General features: G+C 40.6%; 1 protein-coding gene across 3 annotated transcripts in view, besides 1 other annotated feature; it reads left to right on the forward strand.

Annotated features, from left to right (window-relative positions):
- Positions 1 to 26025, forward strand: part of SLC12A1 (solute carrier family 12 member 1) — a 97777-nt gene that overhangs the window by 25949 nt on the left and 45803 nt on the right. For all 3 annotated transcript variants that reach the window (NM_001384136.1, NM_000338.3, NM_001184832.2), the window contains exons 8-16: positions 477 to 588; positions 2627 to 2754; positions 9265 to 9349; positions 12503 to 12654; positions 14659 to 14766; positions 15087 to 15210; positions 17325 to 17426; positions 19365 to 19520; positions 23561 to 23660. In NM_001384136.1, coding sequence (NP_001371065.1) covers positions 477 to 588; positions 2627 to 2754; positions 9265 to 9349; positions 12503 to 12654; positions 14659 to 14766; positions 15087 to 15210; positions 17325 to 17426; positions 19365 to 19520; positions 23561 to 23660 — 1067 coding nt within the window. The remainder of the gene's footprint in view (positions 1 to 476; positions 589 to 2626; positions 2755 to 9264; positions 9350 to 12502; positions 12655 to 14658; positions 14767 to 15086; positions 15211 to 17324; positions 17427 to 19364; positions 19521 to 23560; positions 23661 to 26025) is intronic.
- Positions 18976 to 20175: an enhancer, noted in NCBI's record as "CDK7 strongly-dependent group 2 enhancer chr15:48543423-48544622 (GRCh37/hg19 assembly coordinates)". NCBI's record gives its function as "activates an origin of replication core promoter dependent on BRD2, BRD4, P300/CBP, MED14 and CDK7 cofactors, with strong dependence on CDK7, by STARR-seq in HCT116 cells {active_cell/tissue: HCT116}" and the evidence as "EXISTENCE:reporter gene assay evidence [ECO:0000049][PMID:35650434]".

Genomic DNA, 26025 nt, shown 5'->3' on the forward strand with positions numbered 1-26025 from the left:
CACACAGCGGCAGCCTGACGTCAAGTGCACTGGGAATCACAGGAATTGTATTCATCATTCTGCATTCTCGAACTGCTGCAGTTAGCACTGGGAACAGAAACAACCCATAAGTGCTCTGCTGAAAACAAACAAACAAAACCCCCCTCAAGTTTATCAGTGTTAAAACTTTTGGCTTCCTTTACATTCCTGGGACAATGGTGGAAGTTACCCATCTGCTACTTAGAATGTTACAGAAATGTCACGTTCAACTGCCCAAACACGTGTGCCATTAAAAATGTGGCATATACATCCAAGTAGAATAAGACCTATTTGCATGCCATTCTAATAAGGATGCATGTATTACCTACTCTGGGTAGCAGAGACTTAACTGAAATATCAGATAGAGTCTTTCTGCAGTGGACACTTCTAACTTTTATAATTATGTAAAAAGTTGTTAAATAAATCTGATTTGGTTTCCTTTTACCTTTCCATTCCAGGCCCAAGTCATTCTTCTGGTCATTCTTCTAATTGCTATTGCAAACTTCTTCATTGGAACTGTCATTCCATCCAACAATGAGAAAAAGTCCAGAGGTTTCTTTAATTACCAAGGTACATGGAATAAATTGGTTGCTTTTCATTAAATACTTCTCCATTGCCCTCCTCATCACCATCCCCATCAACCCAACCCCAGCCTTCGGAATGCCTGGCTCCCCTTTCAAGTTACTTGTGGATGCGGAAGCCCAAAAGAAATGGGAAGTACGTTGGGGAAACATAATAGAGGCAAAAACTATCATTCTCTTCTGAAACCCAGTACTTCACCAGCAAATTTGGGCACACCATAGGTTTTAGAACCAGAAAATATATGAGTTTAACTAGTGATAACTAACTAGTGATAAAATGGATAGTACATTTCTCCAGGAAAGAGCCTGGAGTTGGATTCAGGAGACCCAAGGTTGGATCTCAACTCTGCCACTTAACAGCTGGACAGAACACCTAATGTGACTGGGTCTCAGATTTTCCTGCCAAAATGTGGGTGACAATAAGAACTTCCTGAGGGAATTTTGAGAAACAAATAAGACAGTGGATGTGAAAGTGCTTTGTAAACCTTTTGTTGTTGCTGTCAAATAGTAGAAACAGAGACACAGCTCAATTTGTTCAACCACTGCAGAGCACTAAAGTCAAACATAGTCATTTCTCTCTTCCTGCTAGACTTGTTTGCACCTTGCTTTCCCACAGCATTACCTAGTTAAGCATCACTGTCAGGCTTTCAGGCAGAAAAGACTGTAGGAGTTACTCAGTGTAGCATCCTGTGATAACATCACAGAGCATGAAATTTGACTTCTTTCTCTCCTTATTTTACTCCTTCTATCTGTTCTTGCCTTTCTTTTCCCTCTAGCTTACTCAAGAATCCACTGCTGAGTTTTTCAATGTTTCCCTTTATTATTTACTCAGTTGTCAGTATTTATTTCTTTTTGATATCACATACCTCTTTCTTCCTGATTCCTTTTCTTCATAAAGACTTTCTGGTTTGCTTTGCATGTTAATATCCTTTTCCCTTCTATTATTTTCCCTCCCTTCCCATTCCTACCATATTTTTTCTTTAAGCCTTTTTTCCTATTTTTTCATCCCAGATTCTTTTGTTCACATTTTTTTCCTCTCCTTTTCTCTTTTTTCCTTCTGTTTTTCTTCTAGGTTGTTTCCTTTTTATTTAATAATTTGGTGGCAATGTGTGGGATGGTATTATTTTATTAACAAAACTTCTCATCATAATATTCTCCCATACTGAGGATTTGGTATAAGCAGCTAAGATCTAATATCTAGGAGTAAAAAGTAAAGAGATTCATGCATTAGTAGCAAAATTGTAAAGTAGACTCACACACAAGGTTCTTCAACTACCAAAAAAGGCATAGAAAACCAGTGTGTTGATTGTTTATGGTATTTATGCATGTGAGAATGTAGTTGTGTGTGTGTGTGAATGTGTGTGGTGGTGCATTTGTGGGTATGCCAGTGTGATCATGAGAGAATTCATCTCCTCCTCTTTCAACCTTTTCTAGATGCAAAAAAGTCAGGCAGCCTGGATCTCTTTTGGCACAAAAATTGATTTTTCAGAGCTATGTCATAGAGATCTAAAACCTTATGATATATATTTTGACTTTTGGCAAATATTAACATAAAGCTCCTCAGGAGTACACCACATCTTCAAGTTCATTCCATTTAGAATATAGGAATGTGGCCGGGCGCGGTAGCTCACGCCTGTAATCCCAGCCCTTTGGGAGGTCGAGGCAGGTGGATCACCTGAGGTCAGGAGTTTGAGACCAGCCTGGCCCACATGGTGAAACCCCATCTCTACTAAAAATACAAAAAATTAGCCAGGTGTGGTGGCGGGCGCCTGTAATCCCAGCTACTTGCGGGGGCCGAGGCAGGAGAATTGCTTGGTTGCTTGAACCTGGGAGGCAGAGGTTGCAGTGAGCTGAGATCGTGCCATTGCACTCCAGCCTGGGCAACAGAGTGAGACTCTGTCTCAAAAAAAAAAAAATTAGAATATAGGAATGTATTTTCATTTAGGACTAGGGAAGCCAATGGTAACTTAATCTCCTGTACTGTGAAAAATGTCTACATCATAATTTTCTTATAATTTATGTTGCAGCATCAATATTTGCAGAAAACTTTGGGCCACGCTTCACAAAGGGTGAAGGCTTCTTCTCTGTCTTTGCCATTTTTTTCCCAGCAGCTACTGGGATTCTTGCTGGTGCCAATATCTCAGGAGATTTGGAGGTACGTTGTTTGCTCTGCTTTGCAGTCCTGGGAGTGGTGGTACACTTGGTGGGTAGCACAAGGAGCTAGAGAGGTTAGATGTGACCATATTACCCTACAGATTCAAACTGTAGGTTTCTGCAAGATTTCCTGATGATTTAAAAGTTCTCTCTTTTAATGCCAAATTTGGATTTATATTCCAGATAATTCTTCCAAAAGTCTTATTCAGTGATATCAGAAGAACAGGGTAGTGTGATAGTGTGTCATATTTCCCCAAAATAAATGTAGTTCAGTGAAAAAAATACCAGAACCACCCTTTCTCTTTTAAACCCAAATGAATAGGAATATTTTCCTGTAAAAGTAAAAAAAAAACAAAACAAAACAAAGGAAAATAATCACATTTTCACTTAGCTTCCCACTTAATTATTCTGTGTGAAGTACTGCAAAGAGCATGGTATGAGTTAGGATATGGGAATGTTATAAAAGACCAGCAATAGTGGCCTAAACAAGATGCAGGTTTTAATGCACAAAATCTAGCTCAGCTGGGCACAGTGCCACATGTCTATAGTCCCAGACACTTGGGAGGCTGAGGTGGGAGGATTGCTTGAACCCAGGAGTTTGAGGCCGGCCTGGGCAACACAGCAAGACCCTGATCTCTTTAAAAAACAAAAATAAATAAAATGTATGTATATTTCTTGATAAGTCTTGATATACTCATAAATAAATAAATAAAAATTTTATGTTAAATCATCCCGTAGGCCATCCAGTGGAATAAGAAAAGTCTGCTCCAAAAGGTAGCCCAGAAACCCAGATAACCTCTTTGTTTCACCGTTACTTTGGGGCTTGCCCTCCATCTGCAAGGTCACATTCCAGTCCATGGGAAGGGGGATAAGCATGTAGAGGGCAAGCAATTCCTAGAACTTGCATGTATCGCTCCTGCTGACATTCCATAGGCCAGAATTTAGCCTTGTGGCCTTACCTGGTTGCAAAGGAGGGCGGGAAATGTAGTCTGTATCTGGGCAGCCACATGCCCAGATAAAATTTTAGGGGGTCCTAGTATTAAAAGGAGGAAAGTGAGGACATATATCGGGGACAATAAGCCATTTCTAACACACACACACACACACACACACACACACACACACACACACGCAAAGTAGAAGACACAGGTTTTACCACAACAAATTATTATCAACTTTGGAAGACAAGAAATATTTTCAAGACTCATTAAGAAATATACATACATGAAAAACATATGCATTGTCCAGCGGGAAGTGAAATGAAAATACTGAACAAATAATTGTTAAGTTAATCAGGGATGATTTTCTCAAGGAAATAATTTTTGAACCTGAGCATAAAGCAAAGTCTGGATGCTGGCTATTAATGAAGAAATATAGAGTATTCCAGGCAGAGAGGATAGTCAGGCATAGGGAAACTGGGGACAGTGAGAAGTCTCTTACAGTTCAACTGGAGAAACCCTGATGGGGCTCAATCACCTTGAAGGCAAAGGGAAACGGCTGTTAGAGGGACTTGAGCCAGAGGTGCTTGCCCTAGAATATAACTCCATGAAAGTAGAGAGTTTGCCTTTGATTTTGTTCATTGCTGTATCCTCAAAGCTAGTAAGGCCTCAATAAATACTAATTGAGTAAATAAATAAAGGCATTTAGATTTTTATATTAGGGGCCACAGTGCTATGGTAAATTCTCCAGCAGAAATATGGCATAAAAATATTATGCTGAAGTGCAGAAAAGTTAAGAAACTTGTTCAAAATGATTCAAATAGTATCACTGCTGAATGAAATTTAGCTGTGGATGTTGAACTTCTGGTTTGTCAGCTCTGGAAGAGTATCAGAGGTCACTGATTTAAATTTCTGCAAATTATAAGCACACCTTTAAATTAAAGAATATTGCTCTTTCTTTAGACTCCTTAAAAACAAGTTTGTATCAGATGTATAGCAGTCAGTTCCGCTTAGCTGGCCCTCACTGAGTGCCTGTTCACACCAGGCACTGAGGAAACAAGGAGCTTCACCTCTCCCTCAAGGAGCTCAGAGTCGAAGGAGGAGACAGACTTCCCTTATATGAATTAGAACAAGCAAGAGTAGAATCAAGTGCAAAGGAAAGAGGAAGCAGAAATTGCCTGTCCCCTCAAAAAGTAAAGGAAGACTTTCAGAAGAGGGGACACTCAATCCAGGTTTTGAGGGATGAACAGGAGTTTGCCGACAGGACAAAGAAGAGACGGACATTTGAAACAGAAGGAATGGGATGTAAGAAGGCACCAAGAAAGATGCTGCTAATGAGAATTATTTTAAGTGCAGAGTAGTGTATGTAATCCTTCATTAATATATTAATAAACATATTTATAAATAATTTTCTATGTGTCCTAAGTACTCTGGGAGTAAGCAAAGGAAGAGAATATATTATTTCTGTCTGAAAAGACGAGACTTAAAATTCCTCCCCCTTCAAAATAAGTGTTAACTTGATTTAGGGTTGTTATGTTAGTGAAGAAGTTTTTATTTATTTAGCAGCCTCTACTGAGAAATCCCTGATGCTGAGTTCACATGTAAAGAAACTACAAACAATGGCCTGTTAAGATTTTGGGGGCATACATGGTCATAATATTATTGTAGAATGTTGCATTCTTTTTATTTAAAAATACTTTTATGATTTTATAATTAGGCTTAACTTTTAACACATACACTACTATATACTATATACTTTTACTATATACAGAACTCAGGGGTCCTTTTAACTACAGACAATAGAGTTTGGATATTATCCCCAAACTAGCTAGAGACTCTACGGAGGTTAGACAAAGGAATAACATGATTAAATATGTGTGTTAGAGAGAGCCTGCTAACAGCTTGTGGAGGGTGGTTTGGAAGGTGGGAAAATGGTGTAATAGGTAGGAAGACTGGAGGCAGAAAGATCAATTAGAAAATACCATAATAATCTGGACAAGAGATGGCATGGGCCTGATTTAAGGCCATGCAGAGGAGAAGAACCAAAGATATCAGCTTTTGTTAGAATTAGGAGAAGAAATAGAAAAAAAAATGTTTTTTACTATGATCCACGGTAAGAAAACATTATACATCACAACCAAGTGCACACTTAGAAAATTGTCCCCAAATGATTCTCTACTTTATTACAAGCAATGCCTTCTGATATTCTCACATCAGTTCTATTCTATTGGATTCTTTTAACGCTGGTTGTAACCTGTCGAATTGATTCCACAGTATAGTAGATGAGGAAAGGAAGCTCACATTTGTCTATTGAGGTTGAAATGGCAGAAGGACATGGGGTGGCGATGTCTAGTGAGTGGGTAGCTAGATGTATGAGTCTGGAGCTCTGAAAGGAGCTAGGGCAGGACTGGCAGCCTTGACATGGATGAGTTAATGCAGGTATGTGCAAAAGGGAAGACAGAAGAGGTTTGAGGCAGCGTTCAGGCAGACACAGACCTTCAAAGTATTAATGGTAAAAAGCAAGTCCATGAAGAAAAAAGAGACAGAGCTAAGAAGCAGGAGAAATCAAAAGACAGTGGGGCCATGAAAATCAAGAGAGGAGAATGCCTTGAGAAGTAGTAACGTGGTCACAAGCCGGAGGGGCCAACCATGTTAAGTTCTGGGAGGTGACAATATGTTGGGAAATGGGGAGGAAACTTCAGTACTTGTAGATATTATTTCTCTTTGAAAGTGAACCTAGAAATATAACATAATGGATTCGGTCAGTTTAGAAAACATTTACTGTTTACACACTATAGGATAGGAAAGATCCTGATCTCCGCTCACAGCCTCAGAATCCTCCTCTGGAAGGAAGCTCACAGACACAAAGGCATGTTACAAAGTTCCCATCCAGAACCTTACATTTGCTAATAATGCACTAACAGATGATCTGTAAATATGTACCTGGGAGAAGATTTAGAAAATACCCAAGTCTAATCAAGAAAGCTAAGAAGTGATTTCAGAGAAGCAAAATTGGGATGTGGTTGACATACCCAGAAAGCAGGCATCTAATAGTGCTTGCATTCTGTCCTAAGGAAAAATATAATGTCTAATGAAAAAAGGTAAAGAAGTTTAGGTTTTGGGTTACTGCGTGTGGATAGAAACTACATTTCAAGTGAAAACCAATAATTTGTCAAAGTCCTCCTGAACCCTTTCTAAGAGAAAGCTAGCCAGACCAGACAATGTGAATATCTAATCATACATTAATATATTGGCATCCAGATTTCTATGTTAATGTCTTAGGATCATGGCTGGGCATGGTGGCTCATGCTTATAATCGCAGCACTTTGGGAGGCCCAGGTGGGTGATTGCTTGAGCCCAGGAGTTTGAGACCAGCCTGAGCAACATGGCAAAACCGTGTCTCTACAAAACACACACAAAAAACTAGCTGGGCGTGGTGGCACACACCTATCATCCCACCTACTTGGAAGGCTGAGGTGGGAGGATCACTTGAGCATGGGAAGGTTGAGGCTGCAGTGAATCACAATTGAGCCACTGCACTCCAGCCTGGGCAACAGAACAAGAACCCATCTCAAAATAAATAAATAAATAAATAAATAAATAAATAATAATGTCTTAGAGTCATGATGGAATCTCATGTGACTCCTGTTAAGCCATTTGAGAGCTTGTAGCAGACAGTTGCAAATAAAAACTAAGTTTTTGGGGTGTTTGTTTGTTGGTTTGTTTTGAGACAGTGTCTCACTCTGTCACCCTGGCTGGAGTGCGGTGGCACAATCTCGGCTCACTGCAACCTTCGCCTCCCAGGTTCAAGTGATTCTCGTGCCTCAGTCTCCCGAGCAGCTGGGATTACAGGCACATACCACCATGCACAGCTGATTTTTGTATTTTTAGTAGAGATGGGGTTTCGCCATGTTGGCTAGGCTGCTCTCTAACTCCTGACCTCAGGTGATCTGCCCGCCTTGGCCTCCCAAAGTGCTGGGATTACAGGCGTGAGCCACTGCACCTGGCCAAAAACTAAGTTTTTGTGTTTTAGGTATAAGACTGCCTTCCATCTTCACATCTGTTATCCATATATATATATATATATCCATATATATATATATATATCCATATATATATATATATATATCCATATATATATATATATATCCATATATATATATATATATCCATATATATATATATAATATGCATAAATTTTATATATACATATATATTTCTGTTCTTCCCACTGTCAGTTCTTTACATTTTACTCAGATCTCAAGAAATTCTTCATCAATCAAATAAATTTTGGAACATAACATGAATTAGGGGATTCAGTAGGCCCCATCACAGTCATGACTGCCTTCTTTTTCCTTCTGTGTGCTGCCCCATTGCATACACCTGCCACACTGACGACGACAATAGTTTGGAAGGAAGAGACTCAGTATGTACATGTCAGAACAAACCCTGTGTACAGATACTCCTAGAAGAGTGGGGAGAAATTAATGATCACAGAGTGGTCCCATAGGGCTGGCTTACTGCCATGTGGGGCAGGTTTGCTTGATTCAGTTGTGACTTCCAGTCATCAAGTTGAGTCTACATTTTCACTATGCATGACCTTTTTGATGGACTTTTTCAGCATATTTATGTTTTCTTTTTAAAGCACAAACTTTGTTTGACTGCAGTGATTGCTTATTTGTATTGATGAGTCTAATGTGCTCTGGTGGGGGGACTCATACCTGCTGAGATTGTACCTTCTTCAATTCAATATTTATTGACTCCTCTATGCCAGGCCCTGTCCTGTATAAGTGAAGACATTAAAATTTATATTTAATAATCCCTATTAAGTTGAATTGAATACAATTCAATATGCTACTTAAGAATTGATTTTATATGATTTATCCCCCCCAATAGGATATACAATGGTAAATTAAGTATGATGTGAACTCAACTTAGTGAATGTATATACATTTATAAGCAAGAGAAAAGCCCATTTTCTGGTTTAAGCTTGAATTTGCCTCTTTCTTTATGTCTGCTTATGGAAATTAAATATCTCCCATTGCAGATATTTCTGAACTAGATTTCAAATAGGGGATTTAAGGGATTGAAAAATTTAGTAAGTAGATCATCCTTTTTACTCAGTCAAAAGTGATTTTTTTAAAGGCAAGCTTAAGCTCAGTATAAAAAAAATACACCCAGAGATATTATCCACATGCCAGATATGTTTGTATATTTTCCCCTACAAATTCAAGATGTGATACATCTAAATGAAATTCATAGGAGATAAAGAGAAGGATGAGGCCTTGGTGAGTGAACTACCTACTATACTTTTCTAAAGACACTTCCTTCTGGACAGTTAGAGATCTCTTCTGTTCAGCTGAAAGTTTTACAGATTTCTTTATTCACTCTGCACACCTTGTCTTTGTCCAAAATAAAGCTCAAGCTCATCAACTTGCTGTTTGCTTGATCTTTTCTTAGAACTTGCCTCAGGAAGGGTAGCCTAAAAATCTGAAAATATGAAAATAACTCCAAGTGATCTATGGTTCTTATTCTGCTCTGTATTCTTCTACCTCCACATTATTTTTTTAAAGGATCCCCAAGATGCCATCCCCAGAGGAACCATGCTGGCCATTTTCATCACCACTGTTGCCTACTTAGGGGTTGCAATTTGTGTAGGTAAGTGGTACGTCTCCAGTGTCAGAATGTCAGAATTACGAGGGGTCCAGTTGTTCACGTCTAGTGAGCTTTCAATGCAGCATAAATACAGAGTTTTTTAAAAGGCAACAATTTTAATTCCGTTCTTGGTACCTTAATGTTAATGATGTGGATACTTTAGGGATTTGAAGGCAATTAAGCTGTACTACAGACATCTCTGGGTCAGGGCTAGAGTAAAGCTAATCAGGTTGTCATTCTACCTGAACACAAAGAGGGTCCCATTTTACCACCCTTGATGATAATCCCACTGCTAAGGAGGCCACCACTTCTGGCATACACTTCCCTTGTTCTAGGAGGCAGGAGAGAAACAGAGTAGAGAAAAGAAGTGAAAAACAAAACCCTTCAAACCTAAAAACAGCCTTAGGAAAGTATGAAAGATGTGGAATTTGTGACTGTGTCTCATCCTTGTACTGCTATCCTTAATATGGAAATGTCACTGTCACCAATTGGCAGGATATCAGAACAAGACCCAGCTGCTGGCAGTGTAGGTGGCCAGCCCCTACATTGTTCAGTGAACAGAAAATATGTGTACTCACCTGCTGTTCCTGAGACTGACTTTGGTTCTACCTGCTGCCTGCAGCCACACCTCCTCCTGGTTGGGGGTTGCCTCATACTTTTTCCATAGTAGGAAAGGAAGAGGTTTCCCAACATTTAGAGAAGAAAACCATCTTCTATGTACAACAGGGAAAACAGCTCCAGGCTGGACCACCATGGAAGCCAAAGGGTACATCCCAGTCCTCTTCTGCTTATAAGAGAAATTGAGAAGGTACATGTACCTACAGTTGGTTTCTGGAGATAAAAGAAAAAATGAACTTAAATCCTTCCCTGTCTCATTGTCTCTAATTTGAGGAAATTTGATAACTTTGTTAAGAGTATTGTTGCGGCTGGGCACAGTAGCTCATGCCTGTAATCCCACTAATTTGGGGGGCTGAGGCCAGAGGATTGCTTAAGCCCAGGAGTTCAAGACTAGCTGGGAAAACATAGAGAGACCCCATTCCTACAAAAAATAAAAAATTAGCCGGGCGTGGCGGCACACACCTATGATCCCAGCGACTTGGAAGGGTGAGGTGGGAGGATTGCTTAAGCCTGGAAGGTCAAGGGTGCAGTGAGCTGTGATCACAGCACTGCACTCCAGCCTGGGCAACAGAGTGAGACCATGTGTCAAAAATAAATAAATAGGTAGATAAATGTATTGTTGGGGCATGTCCAAGTTTAGTTACATGTAAAGAGATTTTTTTTGTTTCAGTGCTTTAGGAAATCAACACATTTTTAAATGACTTTGAAACCACTAAAGTTAAATTTCCCGAGTGGTTTTCTTTTTTCTACAGTTAAAGTGAGAGAATGAGTAAAGGTATAGACCTGATTTCAGAGCTTCTTCTAGTTTTGCCCCTAAAGGGTGGGAAAATATACATTTCTACACTTTCCTAGTATAGGAGAAGGACAGTCGTGGAGTCAATGCCCTGTCATTAGTACAAATAATGGCTCTTGGCCTGGCTTCATGGGAATTTGAGAGATCTGTTATGCAGAGGTTAAAATACATGATTCAAAGAGTTCAGTTCAACATAAATGAACAATGCAAACAGGTAAAATATGAAAGAATAGTTTGACTTGGTAATTGACATCCATAATTTCAAGCATTCAAGCAGAGGCTGGCAGGCTACCTCTCAGTACTATGATTAAAAGGATCCCTGCACTGATTATTTAAAATGGCTCTTTCAGATAAAAGAGTCTATAATTGGCCAGGTGCAGTGGCTCACGCCTGTAATCCCAGCACTTTGGGAGGGGGAGACAGGTGGATCACGAGGTCAGGAGTTCAAGACCAGCCTGCCCAAGAGGGTGAAACCCCATCTCTACTAAAAATACAAAAATTATCCGGGCATGGTGGCAGGCACCTGTAATCCCAGATACTCGGGTGGCTGAGGCAGAGAATTGCTTGAACGCAGGAGGCGGAGGTTGCAGTGAGCCAAGATCGTGCACTGCACTCCAGCCTGGGTGACAGAGCGAGACTCTGTCTCAAAAACAAAAACAAACAAACAAACAAAAAGAGTCTATAATTTTTAAGTCTCCCAAATTCAAGGAATGTGGATTCCATGGCTAAGATTAAGGAAACACATTTATTCCTGTCACTGGGACCTGTCTTAAAGGTATTATTAGCAAGGCATGAGAATCCACCCTGGGTAGAGTTTGAAATCCAAAGCAGTTTTATTGGTTGGTATTTAGTTTGTAAAGTATTTATCCTTCATGTAGTTCAGAAAAGTTTATATATACTTCACACGTATATTCATATATTTCAAAAATCCTATCAAATACATGGCAAAGATTAGTTAGAAAAAATCCTAAGGGAATGCCAGTGATTAAAATATATATCAAGAGTCTTCTAAATGACCATAATTCTATTTTTAAGAATCTATCCTAGAAGAAAAAGTTTATGCACAAAGACGTTCATCATAGAATGCTATAGTAGAAAATGACAGATACACTCAAATGTATGAAAATAATGGAATAGATCAGCTGAGATAGATACCTGATCAATATAATTTGACCATGGCCTAGGAAATCTGAGTATTTTATCCTAAAACATTTCCTTCATTGTTTAAACCATTAAAACCGCATATAATGTAGAACTGTAACTCTGTTTGATAACTTATGCAAGGAATATCATTAGTTGAAAAGAGGGGCTGCGTTCTCTTAATCACTATAATAGAATTCCATAATGCCACCCCTTGGCTCTCTTGCAGATGAGGAAATAAATCCTTCTACTTGAAAAACATCCAGTTGGTAGTACTAAGCCAGACATATATATTGAGTATGTGTTATGTACCAAGCACTGCCATGCAAGTTTTAAGAGATAAGAAATTAAGACTGAGTGTCAACTCCCAAGTCTCTTACCACTCAAATCTAAGTCACACAGGGAGTTGAAATGGCAGCCTGTTACAGAAAACGGGAAACCCCAGGACTCAGCAGATGGGAGCCTCCAGTTATCAAGAACTACTCACAGTGAACAGAGGCTAAGAAATGGACCTTTTCAGTCTCAAAGTAAACTACGTTTTCAGTAGAAAACCGTAAGGGACCAGAACTTTATAAAGAAATAACAAGCCACGGTTGTTTCCACAGGGGCCTGTGTGGTCCGAGATGCCACCGGGAACATGAATGACACCATCATTTCTGGGATGAACTGCAATGGTTCAGCAGCATGTGGGTTGGGCTATGACTTCTCAAGATGTCGACATGAACCATGTCAGTACGGGCTGATGAACAATTTCCAGGTTTGAAGCAAAATTCAAAAATGTTCACTGCTATTATTTTCATTTTTTGAATGTCACATAGAGTAAGATTTCTGAATCTGCAACTGATTGATTATTGGCTGATAAGAATCCAGCATGGAATGATTCATGTGGAAATGAAAGGAGTCATACAGTCATTACATGGCAGTAAATCCTATGGTTACATTTCCTGTAGTCAGAGACAATAGGCAGTGGTATGAATTGCATCATCAGGGAGAGATCATCTCCTGGCACTATGTGTGTTCCGATCAGTTGTGCAAGATTTCATGGTGGAAAGGAACCTAGATTAGTTAGCACTTGTTATGTATTTCTTTCTTTTATAATTTTAGTTTTTATTCCAGATTCAGGGAGTATCCTCTATGTGCAGGTTTGTTACATGAGTGTATTGTGTGATTCTGAGATTTGGGGGTATTACAACAAGTAGCCTCTGTTCACTGTGAGTAGTTCACTCAGGTACTAAGCATAGTACCCAACAGCTAGTTTTCAACCCTTGCCTTCCTCTATCCCCTCTCTGGTCGCCCCCAGTGTCCCTTGTTGCCACTCTATGTTCATGAGTACTCAATGTTTAGCTCCCACTTGTAAGTGAGAATATGTGGTATTTGGTTTTCCGTTCCTGTGTTAATTTGCTTAGGATAATGGCCTCTAGCTGCATCCACGTTGCTGCAAAGGACACGATTTTATTCTTTTTGTGGCTGTGTAGTATTGCATGGTGTATGTGTACCACATTTTCTTTATCCAGTCCACCATTGATGGGCATCTAGATTGATTCCATGTCTTTGCTATTGTGAATAGTGCTGCAATAGACATACAGATGCCTGGATCTTTTTGGTTGAATGATATATTTTCTTTTGGATATATACCCAGTAAAGAGATTGCTCGGTCAAATGACAGTCCTGTTTTAAGTTCGTTGAGAAATCTTGGAATGCATTTCATACATGGCCTTCAGCTTAGACAAAGCCTTTGAGGTGGCCCTGGAAAGCCTAGAAGACAAAGCTAAGAGAGAAATTGTGAGTGCCAGAGGGAACGTAAATAAGGGGGAAGGAAAAATGGAAGTTAGGAAAACTGTAGGACTTTAAACATATTAATTTGTCTGCATGATTGGTGAGCAGAGGGAGAAGTAAATTTGTCGCGAAAGCTTCATTCTTCTGTTTTAACAACTCACAAAGAGAAATTAACTCAGCTGAAGTCATTATTCCAAAATATGACTTAAATTGATAGAATCACATCATGTCTCAGATCTAAAATTATGTTTAATGAGCACAGAAATAGCAAAGGTCTGAAAAGCCTCTGTGTGCAGGAAGAAGAAAGGTTAATGGCTGTAAAAAAGACTAGTAAACAGCTGAGTCCCTCCCCAAACCTTATTAAAATACTACTTTCTGCTGGATAGAATTCCCCATCATCAAAGAAACATATGGCCACAAAGAACAGAGGGGAAAATGTCAAAATCCTTGAAACCATTTCCTTCTTTATTCTTTCCAATATCTTCTGGATATATTGCGGGTGAGCATTTATTATCTTATAAATAACCAAAAAGGCCATTTCTATTTTTAAAAAATAAAATTAAGAATGTGAGAATGGCCAAGTGCGGTGGCTCACGACTATAATCCCAGCCCTTTGAGAGGCTGAGGTGGGCGGATCACTTGAGGTCAGGAGTTCAAGACCAGCCTGGCCAACATGGTGAAACCCCGTCTCTACTAGAAATACAAAAATTAGCGAGGCGTGGTAGCAGGTGCCTGTAATCCCAGCTACTCGGTAGGCTAAGGTACAAGAATCGCTTGAACCGGGAGGCAGCGGTTGCAGTGAGCCAAGATCGTGCCACTGCACTCCAGCCTGGGCGATAGAGCGAGACTGTCTCAAACAAACAACAACAACAAGAAAAGGAATGTGAGAATGAAGCAGGGGGAAAAAATGTAGTTGAAAGCCGTTTGCTTATGAAACAGATTCCAAATCACAGAAAGTCTCCTTACTTGTACCTCTCTTCTCAAGGTCATGAGCATGGTATCAGGGTTCGGCCCCCTCATCACTGCGGGAATCTTTTCTGCAACACTCTCCTCCGCCCTGGCCTCCCTTGTCAGCGCACCCAAAGTGTTCCAGGTAATACAAGCACAACAGCTTGTGCTTCTCCCTATTGCTATTTCCACAGAATGTGAATCAAGCTGAAATATTCGTTCTCACTGGCAATCATTTTCCATCATTTTCTGAAACAGTTAATGTTTGCATCTGGCTCAAGTTCTATGTCTGCCACATAGTCAAGATCGATTCAAATAATATAAAGAATGATAAACTGCAGTGTTAACTTGTGCCTCATCTTGTGTATCACTTAATCTTTCCCCAAATCTTCTTGTTTGAATCACCTAGAGAAAATGACTGTGCATAGCTATAAATGACAAATTTCTTCTCTTCTTTTCCATTAGGCTCTGTGCAAGGACAACATCTACAAAGCCCTGCAGTTTTTTGCAAAGGGATATGGGAAAAACAATGAACCCCTGAGAGGATATATTCTCACTTTTCTTATAGCCATGGCATTTATTCTTATTGGTTTGTAAAGTTTTCTTGTTTTTATTGAAAACCAAAGAATTCTTCTGATTATTCATAGGGCTTTCCTTTTAGTTTGAAAAATTACTCGTTTTATGTTTAGGATCCCATTTGGGAATATTGGCATCTAAGAAGGAAATGAGAAATCCTTGTGTGTAGAGGGCCTTTGAGGAACTCGAGGTAGACTTTGAATTTTAATCTATTCTTTGAATCTTGAGTGTTCGAAATCCATCCAACCACATGACGCTGAATCCTTCCTCCCACCTGCCTGAAACTGTCTAAATCTACAGTCTCCCCCAGCTGCCATATCTACTGACCTGATGGCTAGCAGAATTGAATTGCCTGTTAGTGTTTCTGGAAATGTGGTCCACTGACCATCTATATCGCAATCACCTGGGGTGTTTGGGAAAGTGTGGAGACTTCAGGCCCAATTCCAGAGTAACTGAGTCAGACTCACTGAGGGTAAGGAGTCTACATTTCACAAGCTACTCAAGAGATTCGTAGACCACTGGCATTTGAGAATCACTTACCTAGACTATAATCTTGGCTTCCTCTCCCCAGGTGATATGGAAACAGCTACATAATCTTGGAGAGGCACATTCATCAACTTAAACTTGCACATTTCTCTCTCCTCCCTAAGGCCCCACTTTTGCTGATGAGCATATCAGAGGAAAAGAAGCAGAAGGCAGAGGACATTGGGAGCCACACATAGGCGGGCAGAGACTTCCTCAGCACAGCAGTGCCAAGCAATGAGGGCTCCTCATCATTACATATTGAACTCAGGAAGGGACTATAATTCATGAATCCTCATAGCATTTGTATGAGGCTGAAGAGGGGAATTTGTAACTCTCTGTGTTTGTTAGATTTTTAAAAATTAAATTAAAACTGATTTCATATAGAGATGTTTCAATTATGTAATTTAGCCTCTAAGATCTCAAATCATTGCCCTGTGCTGCATTTAAGCGAATAAGCAACCAAAGTTTTTAAAGTCTTGTATACATTAGATAATATCCTTTAAAATCATTCTTTCAGAACAAGTGCATTGGCTCCACCCATAAGCTTCATGGCAGCTGTTATGCCTACTTTCTTGTTGGTATCCATGTTCCAGAATCACACCCAGCTGCCTGCATTTGCATCATTGCATCATTTGCATCATTGCATCATTTGCATCATTGAGGGTGATAGATGTCTGACCTTCAGATAAAGGATGACGTCTCTATATTTTTTCTTACATTGCCCAGTAAAAAATCCAGCTGGAATTAAATCATACCAGATATTTACTCCTGAGGCAAAAGTATTTTGGGGCCAGGCACGGTGGCTTACGCCTGTTCATCCTGGCACTTTGGGAGGCTGACGTGGGCAGATCACTGGAGGTCAGGAGTTCAAGACCAGTGCAGCCTGCATAGTGAAACCTTGTCTCTACTAAAACTACAAAAATTACCTGGGCATGGTGGTGGGTGCCTATAGTCCCAGCTACTAGGGAGGCTGAGGCAGGAGAATCGCTTGAACCCGGGAGGCAGAGGTTGCAGTGAGCCGAGATTGTGCCATTGCACTCCAGGGTGACAAGAGCTAGACTCTATCTCAAAATAATAATAATAATAATATTTTGGCTAGCCTTCAGAGGTAGAACTCTCTAGAGATGTGAAAAAGGTATGAATGACAAAGAGTCCTGAAAATCAGAGAACACATATTGGGCCTATGCAGGGAGATTTCAACTGGGGAGTTTTCGGTGCACTGCTGTTTAACTAATATCCTGCAGAGCCTACTTATTGCATACATAACAGTTATAGAACACAGGATTAGATGCCTCCAGAAAAGCTACAGGGAGTTAATTGTATGCCCAGTCGCACATCTACCCATTGCCACTTGAACTTTTTGTAGTAGAGGTCTCGATTGTCTATTTTCTGATTGGTAGGCTTTTTTATTACTTACTTTATGGAAACCCTAGCTAAGAGTAAATATGTATCCCCAAAGAAAAATGACTAACTTCTTAAACTTTGACAGATGCTCGCTATGTTTTCAATTTCCAAATAAATTCAAGCTTCGAGGCTATAACAGCTGTTCAGCCCCTGGTCTCATCACTCATACGTACATGTTCAATTCTGTTACTTTTACAGCGGAACTGAACACCATTGCTCCCATCATCTCCAACTTTTTCCTGGCCTCATATGCACTTATTAATTTCTCCTGCTTCCATGCCTCTTATGCCAAATCTCCAGGTAAGCTGACTTCCAAACTAAAATATGCCTAAGCAAACAGTTAGTTTGTCTCAATAAAACGAAATAAATCAGTGAAAAGTGTTCAATCTGTGTTTATATGTTTCCTTATATCCTAGTGGGAAGCGTAATCCACTTTATTTTGGTGAGTTTGGGGATGAGTTTTGAAATAGAAAAAGAATCATTTGAGCAATGGCCTTTTTGACCAACCAGAAAGTCAATTTTCTCCTGTGGCAATAAATTATTCATTGCAAGAGAAACCACACTTATTTCAGCAGTAGAAAAACACCACTATTTATTTCCAGGGTGAAAGTGACCACAGAAGTGGAATTAATCTATATATTTGAAACTTCCTTACTATCAAATTTGTTTCCTGCCCATGGTGCAGAAGAGAAGGATGAGTAGTTCCCATAATTACCTGCTGAGTGGAGGCAATGTAGACAGGCTGCATTGATGCTGGTGGCATCAGTGCACCCTTTGGGCTGTGGTTTAAAGCTGTTCAAAATTTCACACCAAAGAACCTTCCCCTTTCTAGTCACTCCTCACCTCTTCTTTGCTTTCATTGTCCACTACAGTTTCTTCTGCCTTTCTACCAGAATAGAGAGTTGTCATTATCTACCTTCAGAAAGTTCTCCACCTTGAGAACTTTTACCGGATATATAAACACATTTCCACTCATTGAGGGCCTGACAAGATATTAAGCCTCCTTTGGAAAAACTTGCTGCCAATAAGACAAAATATAGATGGCAGACCAATCTTAATCTAACGAATACTAGGCTACAGAAAGTAGCAGAGTATTTTTGTTTCTTTGTGTGTTTTGTTAACACAGAAATGTGTGACTCCATGCCATGTTATGGCCACTTTTGAAAAATAAGGTGAAATAATAGAGGCAGCCAGGGAAAAGAGTAAAAAAGAGAACGGGAAAGAAGGAGAGAGACAGGAAAATATAGAACAGCATATAGAGGAAGACACATGGATACACAAACCCAGAAAATGTCTGCCTCACACACACACACACACACACACACACACACGGACGGGAAGCCAGACTCAGAGAAAAATAAGACTATTTTCAATGATGTTCTTGAAGTGCTATGTCCATCTTGTGGCCATTTAGGAAATTGCTCCCAAACACTTAAAAGTTCTGCTGTGTTTTGGCAACTCCTAATTTAAAACATACCCCATTCATTAACAAAAGGTGCCCTTCGTATCAGAGCTTTTCCCTCCTGTCCATACTGTCTTCCAGTTGCTTCCATTTCAGGGAACTAAAAGAACACAGAAAACTCCCACGCACGTGCGCACTGTGAGAAATATTTTCATTGCAAAATGCATGACACATTAACACATTGGGTTTAAGAAGCCTTTGCTAGCCCTTAAGTTTAAAAAGCCATTTCTCCATCTTTTTTCATCAGTTATTATTTCTGAAAGGGCAAGCACTGTCCTCTTAGGGTAATGGAAGCTACCAGGAAGTCAAGCAGATTGACCCTTGATGACTACTCCACCTTCTCCAAGGGAGCAAAAAGCCCATTGTTTTCTCTTTTTCTTTCTCTGACAACCAAGAAGTTTCTCCTCCCCACCTGGTAGATCCCACTCTTTCCATTCCTCCTGCCTCTTTTCAGCTCCTGATGGCATAGATACTAGATGCTTAAGGTTTGGAAGTTTGGGAAGACAGTCGGGAGCACGGAGTATGGAGGGTCCTGAATGGCATATTTTTCAGATGCTTAACATTTCCTAAACTTTACAGCATTCTATTTGGTGTAAGTACCATCTTCATAGACCAGGGACCCAAGACCATAGGAAAATAATCACAGATTCTGGAACTTGGCCTAAAAGTTCTGATTCTTTATGTCAGGAAAAAGGCATGTTACCTGCATTCTTCTAATATTCAGTGCCATGATCATAGTAGAGTGGAAGTTTTCCTTCTGCATATTTTGTTTTCAGGATGGAGACCTGCGTATGGAATTTACAACATGTGGGTATCTCTTTTTGGAGCTGTTTTGTGCTGTGCAGTCATGTTTGTCATCAACTGGTGGGCAGCTGTCATCACCTATGTCATTGAATTCTTCCTTTACGTCTATGTGACTTGTAAGAAGCCAGGTAAGATAATGACTGTCTGGAATAGCGTTTCCAAATCTCTCTCTAACTACTCATTTATTAAGCATTTATTGAGCAGCTTCTATGGGCTTAGGTGAGGCATATGTAAGGTGGATATTAATAATATCGTGCAATATAATAGTAACAATAGTTGGGGCCGGGTGCAGTGGCTCACACCTGTAATCCCAGCACTTTAGGAGGCTGAGGTAGGCAGATCACAAGGTCAGGAGTTCAAGACCAGCCTGGCCAACATGGTGAAACCCCATCTCTACTAAAAATACAAAAATTAGCTGGGTGTGGTGGCGGGCCCCTGTAATCTCAGCTACTCAGGAGGCTGAGGCAGGAGAATCACTTGAAACCGGAAGGCGGAGGTTGCAGTGAGCCGAGATCACACCACTGCACTCCAACCTGGGCAACAAGAGCGAAACTCTGTCTCAAAAAATAAGAATAAGAATAAGAATAACAATAGTTAACCTTGTTGAGCACCTATTATATACCATGCACTCATTCAATCATCACAATACTATTAGTCCCATTTTACAGATGAAGAAACTGGGGTTCAAAGAGTTGACTACTTGCCAAAGTAATAATCAAGATGTGATGGAGCTGACCATATAACCAGAATGTGTATGATACCAAACCAACCTGACAAGCTTTCCATTACATCACTTTCTGTTTCTGATGTCCTGATAAATTAGATATAGTCCCTGTCCTCAAGGAGTTCACAGAGTCACACTTAAGGAATTAATTATGATACAATATAGTAACCACTATGAGAGTAATATGAGCAAATTGCTGAGAAAAGGGGAGGGAAGGATTAACTTTGGAATTATCCAGGAAAACTTTTTGGTTCCTAACTTATGTTCACAGAGTCAAACACTCAGTGGACATTTAACAAATATTTTTTAAATGAATAAATAAATGAGGGGTTTTTTAAATTAAAAAAAAAAGCAAGCAACTGGGGTTTGGTTAATCAGAGTCAGGGAATGGTATTTTGGGCAGAAGGTGAAGCATGAATGACATTAAGGACACATGCAAGTGCGGGGCAGCATATTTGGGAAGGCTCAAGGCCTTCAACACACAGAAAGTTCCTGAGTGATGGGGAGAAGGATCACAGGGAGAGCCTGGAAGAGTTGGTGGGGGCCAGATAAATAAGAAACATAAAGGTCATGCCAAAGATTCTGATGTTGTGAGCAATAGGAAGATGCCACAGGCTAATCAATTGGATAAACAATTGGATCTGAACTTTGGGTGTTGACTTTAGTACCATGTATATTAAATTTAAGAGGGGCTGCAGTCAGTGCAGTGCAGGGTAACCCAGAGCCACCCTCACATTCTCCTTTCCCTTACTCTGCCAGTAAAGCAGAGCTTGTAGTAACTACCTTGGAGGGGTCTGTTTAGCTTTTATGACTTTACCTATTGTTAACATCACATATAACTTACATATGGCAAAATTCAGCCCTTTTAAATGTGCTGTCTATATGTTTTGACAAACTCGTACAGTGCTGTAACCGTCATCAAGATACAGGATATTTCCATCATCCTCACAAGTTCCATTATACCCCTGTGTAGTCAATCTCCACCCTCCAACTTAGCCTCAGGCAGCTGCTTTTCTGACGTCTGATCCTGTAGCTTTGCCTTTTCCAAAATACCACATAAATAGAAACATACACGATATAGCCTTTGAGAAGACTTCCTTTCACTTAGCAGAATGCTTTTAGATTTATCCATGCTGTTGCATATGTAAGTGGTTTATTCTTTGGTATCACTGAGTAGTATTCTATTGTATGAATACATCACATATATTTTTAAATTCTGTTCACCAGTTGATGGTCATCTGAGTTGTTTTCAGTTTAGGTCCACAGCACTTTATGTGGACTTATGTTTTCATTTTCCCTTGGGTAAATATCTAGTAGTGGGATTTATGATTAATAGTAAGTGTATATATAACTTTATACGAAACTGCCAAACTGTTTTCTGTGGTAGCAGTATTATTTTCCATTCCTACAAGCCATGAATGAGAGTCCTAGATGCTCCACGTGTTTGTCAGCATGTATTATTGCCAGATGATTTTTTAAAAGCCATTCTAATAGATGTGTAGTGCCACCTCATTGTGGTTTAATTTGCATTTTCCCAATGATTAACGATGTTGAACATCTTATTTGCCATCCATATATCTTTTTTAGCCAAGTGTCTGTTTAAATCTTTCGCTCATTTTTTAGTTGTTTTATTATTATTCAGTAATGAGAGTTCTTTATCTATTCTGGATGCAAATCCTTTAGTATATGTGTTTTGCAAATATTTTCTCTGGATCTGTGGTTTCTCTATTTTCCTTACAGTTTGTTTTGAAGAGTAAAAGTTCTAAGTTTTTGTGAAGTCTAATTTATCTTTTTTTTTTAATGGCTTACCATATTGCATCTGATCTAAGGTATCTTTTTCTTATCCAGAGTCACAAACTTCTAGAAGTTTTAATGCTTTGGAAAGTATATTTAGGTCTATTATCCATTTTGAGTTAATTTTTGTATATGATGTGAGGTATTGTTCAAGGTTCACTTTTTACATACAAACGTCCAATTGACAAGTAGAGTTTTTATCCCTATAAAAATAAACAGCCTAAGGTATGCTTAATGCCTGATGCACAATCAACACTTAATCAATATTGATCTTCTTTATCTCCAGATAATCATTGTTCACCCATTTCCCTGGCTTTCTAGAACAAGGCTAAGGAGAATAGGTTCTGTTTGTCATCTGGGGTGTATCTGTACATTCTTGTCAGGGACTTCCTCTCATAAACCTTGGAAGATCCATTTAATACTTAAATTCGTAAAAAAAAAAAAAAAAAAAAAAAAAAAAAAAAAAAAAACCCAAAAAAGACCGGGCACGGTGGCTCACGCCTGTAATCCCAGCACTTTGGGAGGGTGAGGCGGGTGGATCACGATGTCAGGAGATGGAGACCATCCTGGCTAACACGGTGAAACTCCGTCTCTACTTAAAAAAATACAAAAAATTAGCCGGGCGTGGTGGCGGGCGCCTGTAGTCCCAGCTACTCGGGAGGCTGAGGCAGAAGAATGGCGTGAACCCGGGATGTGGAGCTTGCAGTAAGCCCAGATCGCGCCACTGCACTCCAGCCTGGGCGACAGAGCCAGACTCCGTCTCAAACAAAAAGAAAAAGCGGAGGAGGGGGAAGGGGAGGGATGGTAGAGCTGACCTCCCTTATGATGAAGATTAGGGATTAGGTTCTCAAAGATCCATCTAAAATGTTTGCTAAAGAATCTTGACCCTCTTCATAGAATTCCCATGCTATTCAGTTTTACTATTCAAAATATAAAGATTACTGCACACTATCTGTGTATACAGAAATGCTGCTTCTCCTTCCAGTTTAAGAATTTGGGCCAGGCGCGGTGGCTCACGCCTGTAATCCCAGCACTCTGAGAGACCGAGATGGGTGGATCACAAAGTCAAGAGTTTGAGACCAGTCTGGCCAATATGGTGAAACCCCGTCTCTACTAAAAATACAAAAATTATCCAGACATGTTGGCGGGTGCCTGTAGTCACAGCTACTCAGGAGGCTGAGGCAGGAAAATCTCTTGAACCCGGGAGGTGGAGGTTGCAGTGAGCCAAGATCGTGCCACTGCACTCCAGCCTGCTGACAGAGTGAAACTCCATCTCAAAAAAAAAAAAAAAAAGAAGAATTTGTGAAGACGCTTTGAATTTATTCAGGGACTGACCAGTTTCCCAAGTCTATATGCCTGCAATGTGGTTATCGCACAGCCTCTCCCACCAAGCAAGATTTCTAGGACTGCAGTTGTACAGTCTGATCCTTTGCTGGAATGAAGCCTTAGCTTCTGAAGATTCACGTAGTATTCATAGAAGGATACAAAGTGCTTTTTAGGAAATCCCACACTATATTTTCTCTAATTTGGGCACTCATCTTTGCTGGCATAGCCAAGGAAAATCATAGAAGGGAATGACTTGTAAAATTATTCATGGTGCACAGAGGAAAGGTCAGTGTTTTTTATGCCAATTTCCTCCTTTATCCACAGATGTGAACTGGGGCTCCTCCACACAGGCTCTTTCCTACGTGAGTGCTTTAGACAATGCTCTGGAATTAACCACAGTGGAAGACCACGTAAAAAACTTCAGGTAAAGCTGGTGTCTCAGGCATCCTGGTGTTTTTCCACCCTAGAAGTGGCTCTCCTTTATAAGAGACAAGGGCATTCAAGTAGTTATAAGCTTTAGGGGTACATTCTAAAAATAAGCAGTCATACAAAACTGCCACATTTTCATGACAGCACCTCCTGTAAGTGAGTGCTTCTTTCCTTCCACACTGAGCTATGCCCATCCCAAACTACAGCCCCTCATAGTGCCAGGTGTCACCTTCCATGCGTGGAGATAGCAAGGTGGACTAGGTAATGTGACTTCAGAGAGATGATCCTAAATCCCCACACACATTACTCTGCTATTGTTTCCATTCTGCTTAAGGCTTTAGGGCTTACTGAATTCTCTTAAAAGTAATCCTTTTAGCTTTTCATTAGTTGTATCTTATTTTGAATAAAACCTCAAGCGCAAGCTTGTATGAAGAATGAAAGAAAGTAACATAAAAATCTTGCTTGGAGAGGAACAGATTGCCTTGGGATTTGGGGTAAGTGGCTAGAGGAAAAAGGACAGGGGGACTGTATTAGTCCATTTTCATACTGCTATGAAGAAATACCCAAGACTGGGTAATTTATAATTTTAAAAAAAGAGGCTTAATGGACTCACCATTCCACATTGCTGAGGAGGCCTCACAATCATAGCAGAAGGCAAAGGAGGAGCAAAGGCATGTCTTACATGGCGGCAGGCAAGGGAGTGTGTGCAGGGGAACTGCCCTTTATAAAACCATCAGTTCTTGGGAGACTTATTCACTGTCATGAGAACAGCACAGGAAAAACCCACCCCCATGATTCAATTACCTCCCACTGGGTCCCTCCCACAACACATGGGGATTATGGGAACTATAATTCAAGATGAGATTTAGGTGGGGACACAGCCCAAACCATATCATTCCATCCCTGGCCCCCCCCCCCAAATTTCTTGTCCTCACATTTCAAAACTAATCATGCCTTCCCAACAGTCCCCCAAAGTCTTAACTCATTTCAGCATTAACTCAAAAGTCCACAGTCCAAAGTCTCATCTGAGACAAGGCATGTCCCTTCTGCCTATGAGTCTGTAAAATCAAAAGCAAGTTAGTTACTTCCTAGATACAATGGGGATACAGGCATTTGGTAAATACACCTGTTCCAAATGGGAGAAATTGGCCAAAACAAAGGGGCTACATGCCCCATGCAAGTCCGAAATCCAGTGGGGCAGTAAAATCTTAAAGCTCCAAAATGATCTCCTTTGACTCCATGTCTCATATCCAGGTCATGTTGATGCAAGGTGGGTTCCCAAGGTGTTGAGCAGCTCTGCCCCTGTGGCTTTGCAGGGTACAGCCTCCCTCCTGGCTGCTTTCACTGGCTGGTGTTGAGTGTCTGCAGCTTTTCCAGGTGCACAGTGCAAACTGTCGGTGGATCTACCATTCTGGGGTCTAGAGGACTGTGGTCCTCTTCTTACAGATCTACTAGGCAGTGCCCCAGTGGGGAGTCTGTCTGGGGGCTCCGACCCCACATTTTCCTTCTGCACTACCCTAGCAGAGGTTCTCCATGAGTGCTCTGCCCCTGCAGCACACCTCTGCCTGGATATCCAGGCATTTCCATACATCCTCTGACATCTAGGAGGAGGTTCTCAAACCTCAATTCTAGTCTTCTATGCACCCACAGGACCAACACCACATGAAAGCTGCCAAGGCTTGGGACTTTCACCTTCTGAAGCCACCATCCAAGCTATACCTTGGCCCCTTTTAGCCATGGCTGGAGCAGCTAGGACAAAGGGCACCAAGTCCCTAGGCTGCACACAGCAGGGGGACCCTGGACCATGCCCAGGAAACGATATTTCCCTCCTGGGCCTCCAGGCCTGTGATGAGAGAGGCTGCTGTGAAGTTCTCTGACATGCCCCGGAAATATTTTCCCCATTGTCTTGGTGATTAGCATTTGCCTCCTTGTTACCTATGCAAATTTCTGCAGCCAGCTTAAATTTCTCCCCAGAACATGGTTTTTTCCTTTCTACTGCAAATTTTTCCAACTTTTTTGCTCTGTTTCCTCTTGAACACTTTGCTGCTTAGAAATTTCTTCTGCCAGATACCTAAATCATCTCTCTCAAGTTCAAAGTTTCACAGATTTCTAGGGCAGAGGCAAAATGCTGCCAGTCTCTTTGCACAGCAAGAGTGACCTTTACGGCCGGGCGCGGTGGCTCACGCCTGTAATCCCAGCACTTTGGGAGGCCGAGGCGGGCGGATCACGAGGTCAGGAGATCGAGACCATCCCGGCTAAAACGGTGAAACCCCGTCTCTACTAAAAATACAAAAAATTAGCCGGGCGTAGTGGCGGGCGCCTGTAGTCCCAGCTACTTGGGAGGCTGAGGCAGGAGAATG

The sequence above is a fragment of the Homo sapiens genome, chromosome 15 (assembly GCF_000001405.40).
Source record: "Homo sapiens chromosome 15, GRCh38.p14 Primary Assembly".
Taxonomy (NCBI): Eukaryota; Metazoa; Chordata; class Mammalia; order Primates; family Hominidae; genus Homo; species Homo sapiens.